Source organism: Homo sapiens, chromosome 2 (assembly GCF_000001405.40).
Source record: "Homo sapiens chromosome 2, GRCh38.p14 Primary Assembly".
NCBI lineage: Eukaryota > Metazoa > Chordata > Mammalia > Primates > Hominidae > Homo > Homo sapiens.
This window is the reverse complement of record NC_000002.12, coordinates 131,069,295-131,081,354: the sequence shown is the minus strand read 5'-3', so window position 1 is coordinate 131,081,354 and position 12,060 is coordinate 131,069,295. Positions and strand designations below refer to the sequence as shown.

General features: G+C 45.7%; 1 protein-coding gene across 13 annotated transcripts in view; it reads left to right on the top strand.

Moving 5' to 3' along the window:
• Positions 1-12,060, top strand: part of FAM168B (family with sequence similarity 168 member B) — a 45,585-nt gene that overhangs the window by 12,106 nt on the left and 21,419 nt on the right. For 12 of the 13 annotated variants that reach the window (NM_001321746.2, NM_001321745.1, NM_001009993.4 and 9 more), the window contains one exon: positions 9,417-9,500. In NM_001321746.2, the coding sequence (NP_001308675.1) occupies positions 9,417-9,500 (84 nt within the window). Of the gene's footprint in view, positions 1-4,985; positions 9,334-9,416; positions 9,501-12,060 lie in introns of those variants that run through there. The other variant, XM_011510594.4, reaches the window with a different exon arrangement.

Genomic DNA, 12,060 nt, shown 5'->3' with positions numbered 1-12,060 from the left:
GGGCTTCCTGCAGGCAAAGTTCTGCCTGCTAGCATGGGATGCCTCCCATCAAGTAAGAGGCACCAGCCATGACAGACTGCAGGAGAAGAACCATCAGGTAGATGCTATGTCACATAGCCAAGTTTAGAAGAATTGCAGATATAAAAGAAAGAATCAGAAACATAAGAGGGGAACAAGATGCTGAGAAAAAAGAACTAGCTGGAACTTTAAGAAATGAAACAAAATGGCATATGAACAAATTTCAGGTTAATATCAAGACAAGACACTGGTTAAGAGAGAACCAGAATGCAACATAAGGAAAGGGAGGAAAACAGAACAGTAAAGAAACATCTGGAGCTCTTCTCCAGAAGGGCTGAGTAGAGAAACTGTAAGAAAAGGAGTGACAGGCTGGGTGTAGTGGCTCATGCCTGTAATCCCAGCACTTTGGGAGGCCGAGGCAGGCAGATCATGAGTTCAGGAGATCGAGACCATCCTGGCTAACACTGAAACCCCGTCTCTACTAAAAATACAAAAAAAAATTAGCCAGGCATGGTGGCGGGCGCCTGTATCTCCAGCTACTTAGGATGCTGAGGCAGGAGAATGGCGTGAACCCGGGAGGTGGAGCTTGCAGTGAGCTGAGATCGTGCCACTGCACTCCAGCCTGGGCGACAGAGCAAGACTCTGTCTCAAAAAAAAAATTCTTTTACTATTCTTTTAGTGCTTATTATAAAGATTATACCTCTTTTATTTTTATTTTTTTGAGACCGTCTTGCCCTGTTGCCCAGGCTGGAGTGCAGTGGCACGATCTCAGCTCACTACAACCTCCATCTCCCGGGTTCAAGCGATTCTCCAGCCTCAGCCTCCCGAGTAACTGGGATTACAGATGCATGCCACCATGCCCAGCTAATTTTTTGTTCACTGTGTGAGCCAGGCTGGTCTCGAACTGCAGACCTCAAGTGATCCGCTCTCCTGAGCCTCCCAAAGTGCTGTGATTATAAGCGTGAGCCCCTCTTTTTCTGTTGTTGCCTTACCTTAAGATATTACTTGTGTCACAGTACTCCAGCCTGGTGACAGAGCGAGACTCTGTCTCAAAAAAAAAAAAAGACGTTACTGTTTTAATTTTGTGCAATCAACAGCCATTTATATTTATTCACACATTTACTGTTTTTGGTGCTCTTCATTGCTTTCTCTATTTACATGTTTCTCTCTGGAGTCATTGACCTTTATCTGAACAACTCTCAACATTTTTTTTTTTTCTGAGACAGAGTTTCACTCTTGTTGCCCAGGCTGGAGTGCAATGGCGTGATCTTGGCTCACTGCAACCTCTGCCTCCCGCGTTCAGGTGATTCTCCTGCCTCAGCCTCCTGAGTTGCTGGGATTACAGGCGCCTGCCACCATGCCCAGCTAATGTTTGTATTTTTAGTAGAGATGGGTTTTTGCCATATTGGCCAGGCTGATCAAGAACTCCTGACCTCAGGTGATCCTCCCACCTCGGCCTCCCAAAGTGTTGGGATTACAAGCGTGAGCCACTGCTCCGAGCCACATTTTTTTTTTTAAACCACAAGTCTGTTAGTGAATTTTGTTTTGTGAAATTGTCTTTATTTTGCTTTTCTTTTGAGGCATTCTTTTGCCGGGTGTGTTTGTTTTTTTTGTGGCTGCTATAACAGGTAACCACAAACTTGGTGGGTTAAAGCCATAGAGATGTAGTCCCAGAGGTTCGAAATCAAGGCGTTGGCAGGTCTGTACTCCTAGTGCAGGCCCAGAGGAAAATCCATTCCTTGCATCTTCTAGTTTCTGGTGGCTGTCTGCAGTCTTTAGCATGTGGCTTTGTGGCTGCATCACTCCCATTTCTGCCTCCATGGTCACATCCTCTCCTGTGTGTCTTTTGTGTGTTTGTTTTGAGACGAAGTCTCACTCTTGTCACCCAGGCTGGAGTGCAGTGGCGTGATCTTGGCTCTCTGCAACATCTGCCTCCCAAGTTCAAGTGATTCTCCTGCCTCAGCCTCCTGAGCAGCTGGGATTACAGGTATGTGGTGCGTGCCACCACGCCCGACTAATTTTTGTATTTTTAGTAGAGATAGGGTTTCACCATGTTGGCCAGGCTGGTCTTAAACTCCTGACCTCAGGTGATTGGCCTCCCAAAGTGCTGGGATTACAGGCCTGAGCCACCGTGCCCGGCCCTGTGTGTTTTTTATAAGGACACTTGTCATTGGATTTAGAGCCAGCCTGGGCAGTCCAGGATTCCAGAATGACCTCATCTCAAGATCCTTCACTTAATCACATCTGTGAAGATTATTTTCCCGAATAATGTCACATTATTTCCTCTCAGCACTTTAAAGATAAAATTTGTCATCTGGTTTCTGTCAAAATAATTTTTTTTTTTTTTTTTGTGAAAGGGTCTTGCTCTGTCATTCAGGCCCCAGTGCAGTGGTGTAGTCACGGCTCACTGCAGCCTCAAACTCCTTGGACTCAAGGGATCCTCCTGCCTCAGCCTCCCAAGTAGCTGGGACTACAGGTGTGCGCTACCATGCCTGAATAATTTTTTAATTTTAATTTTTGTAGAGATCGGGTCTCACTGTGTTGCCCAGGCTGATCTCAAACTCCTGTGCTCATCCCACCTCAGCCTCCCAAAGTACTGGGAGTACAGGCCTGAGCCACTGTGCCCGGCCTAGAATAATTTTTGCCTCTTTGAAATCATGTTTCTTCTCTACATTTCCCCCAACCCGTGTACCTTGCTACTTTGAAAATATCTTTGCTTTTACCATGATGTAACTAGATGCGATTTTATTTGTATTTACCTTGCATAGTGTTCAGAGAACCTCTTGACTCTGAGTTGATTTCTTCCAGCAGTAGCAGTAGCTCTTCAAATATTGTTTTTGTCCCTTTCTCTCCTCTCCTGGAACTCCATCTATAAGTGTTTTAGACCATTTCAGTCTGTCCTTTCTGTCTCTTGCACCCTGTTTTATAGTTTCTGTTTTTTTCTCCATGAGCTTTAATACAGATAGTTTATACTGATCTGCTTCCATTTGTCCTGCTAATTCTGCTCTAATTTGCTATAATTCATGTATTGAATCAAGTCTTTTTATGTATTTTCTCCATCTTCTGTTTTTTCCAACATACTACTGAGTTATTTTAAAAACTGTTTGCTAACTGCAGTCTCTGGATCACCTGTGCGTCAGTTTTTATTGTCCATTTGTTCTGTTCTTTTGTTTTTCCGTCACATGGTCCTGTCTTGGCATGCCTGGTGTTTTTCATTAACTGTCTCACGCAGTGTATTAGAAATTATGGGTGGTTTCACTGATGATGTCTTCTTTTGCTGGGAAGGTAGCATGCTGAATGGTCTTCTTAATCCACTTGGAGCTGGGCTTAGATGCATTTCAGTTTTGGCAAGGCTTGGTCTCCCTTTGTTCTGCCCTTATTCTGGAGCGCAGGGTTTCCATAAGCCTGACATGCTCTGCACAGTCCATCCCTCTTGTGGATCCGTACCCTGATCTTTGTCTCTTACACCAGGGGAGTAAGGAAAACTCTGCGTTTCAGAGATTTTTGGTTTTTGCTGTCTGCTGGGGTAGCTTTAGAATTTGACATATGTCTTAAAGCAGACTTTAACTGGTTTTGAAGCTCATCTGAGGTCCAATTTTATCACTACAGCCCTTCAAGATCACCAAAACCCATGTTTCTCTGTCCTCCAGCCACGGCCTTCTGTCCAGGGAGAACCTAGACTTGGCCTCTTGCCCATGCTGAGAATTGACAAGCACCGCCCAGGTCAACAAGGCTGTAGATCCTAATTTCTCCTTTGTTCCACAAATGGTAGTGGACACTGGGATGGAGTTAGGAACATAAACATTTTGGGGGGGCTATCACATAGGAAAATCCAGCAGGGAGGAAGTAGAATTAGGGAGAGCCTCAGACTGTGAGGCACATTTGCCGAACTCATGGCCAGCCCACGGGTGCTCTGGGGCAAGGGTTAGCAGTTGGAGGCCGACATGAGGCACCAGCGGCCTGGTCCTGCTCCTGAGACTGTTGACCCACATACTTCTCCTGGCTGAACAGTAGGTTCTTTCTGGAAAAGAGATGCAGGCGGCGTTGCTCACTTCGCTTTGTAAGGAATCACTCCATAACAGTTCACAGAAGTTTGCCTTGTTCTTTTTTTTTTTTTTTTTTTTAAATGTAATAGCGTTACATACACTCCATCTTGTGGGCTTCCATAGTTGATTGAGCCAGTTTCCTTGTGATGGGCATTGGAGTTGTTTGAAGTGTGTGCTATTTTAGTAATGATTCTGTGAACAGCCCTATGTTTGTGTGACTCTGGGAATTCTCCTCAGGGTGGGTTCCTAGAGCTGGGGTTGCTGGGTCAGAGAGCAAATGCACATGTGATTGTTAGGATACTGCTGAGTTCTTATCAGCAGTGTGAGACGATTTCCCCACAGCCTGGCTAACAGAATGTGTTTTCCAGCTTCTGGATTTCTGCTAGTCGGAAGTTAGTCAGCGTAGTTGTAGTTTGCAATTCTGTGTATCTGTGTCTATTGATTTGAGTGGTGGGGGTGGGGCGGGATGTTTGTTTTTGTGGTTTTAAAAGTTACTTACGTATTAAGTGTACTAGCCCTTTGTCTAAATAATTTAGATACTTTATCTGAATTTGTCCTTTTGCTTAACTATGGTATTTTTTGCTGTTCTGAAGCTTTTACTTTTGTAAGGTGATCAGTCTTTTTTTTTTTTTTTTTTTAAGACGGAGTCTTGCTCTGTTGCCCAGGCTGGAGTGCAGTGGCGCGATCTCGGCTCACTGCAAGCTGCGCCTCCCAGGTTCACGCCATTCTCCTGCCTCAGCCTCCTGAGTAGCTGGGACTACAGGAGCCCGCCACTGCACCCGGCTAATTTTTTTTTTGTACTTTTATTAGAGATGGGGTTTCATCGTGGTCTCAATCTCCTGACCTCGTGATCCACCTGCCTCGGCCTCCCAAAGTGCTGGGATTACAGGCGTGAGCCACTGCGCCCGGCCAAGGTGATCAGTCTTGTAGAAATGATTCAGGTTTGGGATCGCTCTGGTGCCTTGATGTAGGGAGTCTGGCCTTTCCAGCCTACCATGCCAGAAGAGGGCTAGAATAGATGCTGAAGGAGACGGTCTCTGTGTCTGCTGGGGGTTGGGGTACCCAGAAAGATCAGGAATAGGAAGAAACAGTGATTCTTAACTCCATTGCTTGGAACCCTGCAGATTCACTGTCTGGAGAGAATGAGAAAAAAGAGGCTGGTGCACCCGAGACCAGCTAAAGCAGTGTTGGGGGTCCTCCCAAAGCTGCCCCTGTGGGTTTTGTGCAGTCCAGGTAGAAACCATTGGAGATAGTGAGGGGAGCCACGCTGCGGCTTGGGTCAGAGTGGTGACAGAGCAAGTGGGATGTGGCTGATGGGATGAGGCGATGGGAGCACGGAAGCAGCAGAGGCTGTCTAGGAGATTGGGAGTCTTTGATCCCCATACCAGAGACCAGGTATGTAGTGCATCTTGTTGCTGGTGGCTAGTGATGCCATCTTAAATACTATCGTGTGTGTTTGCTGTTTCATTATAGGATGTGTTAACTTCTTGTTAGAAACTGGGGGGCCGGGCGCGGTGGCTCGTGCCTGTAATCCCAGCACTTTGGGAGGCCGGGGTGGGCGGATCACGAGGTATGTAGATCGAGACCATCCTGGCTAACATGGTGAAACCCTGTCTCTACTAAAAATACAAAAAATTAGCCGGGCACGGGCCCCTGTAGTCCTAGCCACTCAGGAGGCTGAGGTAGGAGAATGGCGTGAACCCAGGAGGCGGAGCTTGCAGTAAGCCGAGATCACGCCACTGCATTCCAGCCTGGGCGACAGAGCAAGACTCCGTCTCAAAAAAAAAAAAAGAAAGAAAGTGGGGATGGGAAGGACTAAGCAAAGAAGACAGTAGTTTTTCAGGGACCGTTAAACACAATCTTCAGCAAACAAATCCAGAGCAGCCCTCTTCCCATGAGAATATATTGGTAGAGTTTTAGGGAGAGATGAGGAATTTGGAATTTCTGGAAATTATTGCAGAGGCCTACAGGATATGATCTAGGTCAGTGGTAGTTGAAACTTTTTTTTTTTTTTTAAAAGAAGGAAACCATTGGAAAAAAAAATCTTGCTGGTTCCCTGGTCTCTGAGGGCAGTTCCAGACCTTTCTTGGTCTTCCTGTGCTCACAATTGGGCTTCTGAGGAGTCTCTCAGCATCCCCAGAACTGCTGTCCTGGTCTTTCCAGTGGCCATTGTGGGTCTCTTTGAAGTTGAATCTGCCCTTGACGTCCACCACACTCTGTTCTCTGACTAATTAGAGAGGGCAAACGGGAGGGTGAGAGTCCAGGAGGGAAACCCGGAATGGCTTCTGCTGAGGTAGAGGGGGATCAGTTTGAAGTGAGGAAAGCAACTTTGAAGCAAGGATAAAGATGAGAACTGGGCACTTGGAGGGATTCTGGGGCTAGGGCTTGGTGACACTGATGCCTCCTGTTCCCACAGAAACCTGCAAGATGGCTTAGGGATGCAGGGCAATAGAGCAAGGGATCCAGGCTGAGGGGGCCGAAGGGAGGCACGTGAGGAGCTGTATTCAGAACTTTCTGTCCCACCTACAAAGATTTTCCTTTTGGCATTCCACTCAGATCCCCCCTGTTTTTACCTCAACCTTAGGGCTTCCTTGCTTTGGTTACTGTTAGCACCATGATTTGTTCCTAAGGGATCGTAACACCTTAAAAATCCCAGTCCAAGTGCTGTAAGAGACACCTTTCTCCAGGCCTCCTCAACACAGTTTCTTTTGAAGACTGCTCTTCTCTTTCAACTTTATTTACAGGTGAAGGAAGTGTGCAGTAGAGAAGTTACAGCTTCTCACAGCTAGTGGGAACAGTAATCAAGGCTAGGAAACCTGAGTCATCTTGTTGGCTGTGTGCCCCAAATAGAAAGAACGCTTTCTGGCCAGGTGCAGTGGCTCACACCTGTAATCCCAGCACTTTGGGAGGCCGAGGAGGGCGGATTATGAGGTCAGGAGATGGAGACCATCCTGGCCAACATGGTGAAACCCCGTCTCTACTAAAAATACAAACATTAGCTGGACATGGTGGCGTGTGCCCGAAATCCCAGCTACTTGGGAGGATGAGGCAGGAGAATCGCTTGAACCAGGGAGGTAGAGGTTGCAGTGAGCCGAGATCACGCCATTGCACTCCAGCCTGGCAACAGAGCGAGACTCTGTCTCAAAAAAAAAGAGAGAATACTTTCTAATACCTCAGCTGTCACAAGTGATGCCTCCTGTACTGTGAGCCAGAGGGGTCAGCCCAAAGGGAAGGGAGGCCTTATCGAAAAGGGCAGATGCCTGAGGCCCCCTCTGTTGGTTGCACCTTGGGGCCAGGATTCTGACTGTAGCACTCAATGTCTTATTTGATGTTTCTGTTTCGTTCATATTATGAATTACTAGGTCATGGTTTAGTCTTAATAAGATTCCTCATTTGTATTAATAAAGGTCAGCTTATTTGCACGTGGACTGTAGTTGGATTTTTCCCATTTCTGTGTGTATGCATTCCCAGTTAGAGCTCCTTCTGTAAGAAGACTGAAGCTTAAGTAAGACACAGCCTGGGTTTATGACTGGTGTCTTAATTTGTTTTCTGCTGCTTTAGCAGAATATCAAGCTGGATAATGAACAGAAATTTATTAGGCTCTTGGTTCTGGAGGTTAGGGAAGTCCAAGAGCATGGCGATGGCATCTCGTGAGGGCTTTTGGGCTCTATCCTCTTGTGATGGATGGTGGAAGGGCAGCGAGTGCGTCAGAGAGAAAGGGGGCTGAACTTGTCCTTTTTATCAGGAACCCACTTTCATAATAAAGCCGTCACCTATTAAATGTCCCACCTCTCAGTGCTGTTAAAATGACAAATTTTAACGTGAGCTTTGGAGAGGACATATGAAAACATATTAGCTGGTCATGCTGGAGAAGTTGGGGATCAGAACATCAAAATATGGCAAGGCGTGGTAACTCATGCCGGTAATACCCGCACTTTGGGAGGCCGAGGCAGGTGGATCACCTGAGGTCAGGAGTTCGAGACCAGCCTGGCCAGCATGGCAAAACCCCATCTCTACTAAAAATACAAAAATTAGCTGGGCGTGGTGGTGCACGCCTGTAGTCCCAGCTACTAGGGAGACTGAGGCAGGAGAAATGCTTGAACCCAGGAGGCGGAGGTTGCAGTGAGCCGAGATCTCACCACTGCACTCCAGCGTAGGCAACAGAGCAAGACTCTGTCTTAGAAAAAAAAAAGAACATCAGAATGTGAAAAAACCTGAAATGAATTTAGAAGTTTAAAACAGTTTCTTACAACAAAAAATAATAGCTTTTAAGTCAAAATATGTAATGTAGGAAATGTCGGAATTCAGTGAAAATGAGTGACCTTTACATAGGCTTAGCTGTTCACTGGTAGCAGCAAAAATAGGCCCTTGAGTCCAAGCTAGACTTGAATTCTGATTCTTCCAGACTTTGTGCAGTGAAGTCAGATGAGGGTAACAGGACCTAGCGTGTGATACCCTTAGCACTCTTACTACTCTTGCTAAGTAATTATGTGATTAGAGTTTGGAATGAAACTTCCAGAAATGTTATAATTGAGGCTTGGCGCGGTGGCTTATGCCTGTAATCCCAGCACTTCGGGAGGCTGAGGTGGGTGGATCATGAGGTCAGGAGTTCGAGACCAGCCTGGTCACCATGGTGAAACCTTGTCTCTACTAAAAATACAAAAATTAGCTGGGCGTGGTGGTAGATGCCTGTAATCCCAGCTACTCGGAAGGCTGAGGCAGGAGAATCGCTTGAAACGGAGGTTGCAGTGAGCCGAGGTCGCGCCACTGCACTCTAGCCTGGGCAACAAGAGTGAAACTCTGTCCCCCTCCAAAAAATAAATAAAAATAAAATATATAATTGTTACCTATCAAAATTCTGAGGGAAAGCCAGGCGTGGTGGCTCACACCTATAATCCCAGCACTTTGGGAGGCCGAGGCGGGTGGATCAACTGAAATCAGGAGTTCAAGACCAGCCTGGCTAACGTGATGAAACCCCGTCTCTACTAAAAATAGAAAAATTAGCCAGGTGTGGTGACACACACCTGTAATCCCAGCTCTTCGGAAGGCTGAGGCAGGAGAATCGCTTGAACCTGGGAGGCAGAGGTTGCAGTGAGCCAAGATCATGCCATTGCACTCCAGCCTGGGCGATGAAAGTGAAACTCTGTCTCAAAAGACGACAACGATAAAAAAAACAAAGTTCTGCGGGAAGAAGACAACTAGAGACATGCTGTTGGCCACACATAGTGCTCTTGGGGCTGCTTAAGTCTGTGGAGTTCTGGGGAAGAAGGTAAGAGCGATGGCTTTGCAGGAGCTCTAGTGATTGTCGCTACTTCAGTTGATGACATGAGATTGTTCTTTATTTTTCTTCAGCTGGTTTTCCCATGGGCTATGCAGCAGCAGCTCCTGCCTATTCTCCTAACATGTATCCTGGAGCGAATCCTACCTTCCAAACAGGTATGTGCTGGGTGGTAAAATGCTTTGTACGTACAGCTGGGAGAGAAAGGTGAAGGGGTGGATTTTGAGAGGGGTGGGTATAGAATTAGGACTTGGTTGAGTCGATTTCTCAAGTTCATTAAGTTAGCCTGTTGATAAGTGCAACAAAAGCTTAATTCTTACTGCACTGAAGCTTTATATACTGTGTTTCTCATGTCCTCCCACAAGGCAAATCTGTAATCACTAGGTTGTTAACTCTGCCAGAGCATCTGTTCATGAAATAGTATCACCTACTAGAAATTGAAGAATTTCTTGCCATGCCAACAGGTGGAATTTCCATGTTAATGTTTTTAGAGATAATTTTTGGTTAGACTACTTTAGCACTCTGATAATATTTTTTAAAAAAGTATTATTTTCCATGTAATGTATAGATGAATATTTTTAGATTTTGGAAATCACTGTTAATATTAAAAGTGGAATTGGTTTGGGTCTGAATCTTGAGGAGATTGGTTATTTAGTGGGATTTCCTGCTAGGAGCCTGCACTCTCTGGTGTTGGTTCCTTTTGGACTTTTTTCACCCACACGGGGCTTTGCCTTTCTGCCGCAGCAGTGGTGGTGCACACTCTGATCTGAGGCTGTGGTTTGGCCTTAATCCTGGGACTGCTGGGGCAACTTTATCCCTCAACAGTAGCTTCACACAGTTAACTTTGACAGAGGAGGAGACAACAGCAGTGTCCTTTCCCCAGATTCTTCCTGTTTTGTTAATCATAAAATTCTGCCTTTATATTCTGTCCTTACATCCATCTCTTCGTTTCCATTTCCACTTCCACTATGACCCTATATGACCACCCTTGTTCAGACCGTAGTTCACACCCTGAGAAAAACGTTCTTGACTTGGTCTTCCTGCTCCCAAGCTTTCTTTCCCCGGGTTAGTGTTCTTCCCATTTAAACCAGAGCGATGCTCCCAGATGAATTTTTCTCAGTGGTTTCCCATGACTGTGAGACACAGTTATGCCTAGAGTCTCGACTTTCAGTCCCTAGCTGTTTGCCATATTGGCCCATTTTTTCCCTTTAGAGTGGTTTTCCTTTTGTGTTTTGCCTTGAAAGAACCATCCATCTCGTAGTGTATATTAGCAGTTCATTCCTTTTTATTGTTAGGTAGTATTTTGTTGTATGGAAATAAATACTTCAGTTTGCTTATCCATTTACCATGTGATGAACATTTGGGTTATTTGCAATTTTGGGCTATTACAAATGAAAATGCTATTAATATTTATATGCAGGTTATTGTGTGAACATACACTTTGATTTCTCTTGAGTAAATAAATACAGAGGATTTGAGTGGCTGGTTATTATGGCAAGTGTATATTTAACTTTGTGAGAAACTGCCAAACTGTCTTCCAAAGTGGTGGTACCATTTTACATTCCTACCAGCAGTGTTTGTGAGTTGTCGTTCCTCCACATCCTTAACAACACTTGGTGTGGTCAGTCTTTTTAATTCTAGCCATTCTAGTGAATGTGTAGCAGTATCTTTTCATGTGCGTATTTGCCTTCTGTATGTCTTTGGTGAAGAATTTGCTTTTACTGTATGTCAGTTATTGTTTTCTTATCGTTGAGTTTTTGAGAGTTCTTATCAGATATATGCGTGTTTTCTCCCAGTCTGTGGCTTTTTCATTCTTTTAACAACGTCTTTTAAAGAGCAGGGGTTTTAAAAGTTTAGGCTGGGCGCGGTGGCTCACGTCTGTAATCCCAGCAATTTGGGAGGCTGAGGCGGGTGGATCATGAGGTCAGGAGTTCGAGACCAGCCTGGCCAACGTGGTGAAACCCCGTCTCTACTAAAAATACAAAAATTAGCTGGGCTTGGAGGCGCACTCCGGTAATCCCGGCTACTAGGGAGGCTGAGGCAGGAGAATCACTTGAACCCAGGAGACAGAGGTTGCAGTGAGCCGAGATCGTGCCATAGCATTCCAGCCTGGGCGACAGGGTGAGACTCCGTCTCAACCAAAAAAAAAAAAGTTTGATGAGGGTTAGTCGTTTTATGGATCATGCTTTTGGTACCATACTTAATAAACCTGTGTAACTTGGCTGGGCGCAGTGGCTCACGCCTGTCGTCCCAGCACTTTGGGAGGCCGGGGTGGGTGGATCATGAGGTCAGGAGATCGAGACCATCCTGGCTAACGCGGTGAAACCCCCTCTCTACTAAAAATACAAAAAATTAGCTGGTCATGGTGGCGGGCTCCTGTAGTCCCAGCTACTCCAGAGGCTGAGGCAGGAGAATGGCCAGAACCTGGAAGGCGGAGCTTGCAGTGAGCCGAGATTGCGCCACTGCACTCCAGCCTGAGCGACAGAGCAGGACTCCGTCCCCAAAAAAAAAAACAAAAGAGAAAGAAACCTGTGTAACCTAACTTCACAAAGATTTTCTTCTTTTTTCTTGTAGAAGTTTTACACTTGTAGGTTTTACATTTATGTCTGTGACCCATTTGCAGTTAATTTTTGTGTATGATGGTAGGAATGGATTGAAGTTTATATCTTTGGCATACGTATCAATGTGGCATGTGATGATCATGCCGTAGACCACCAT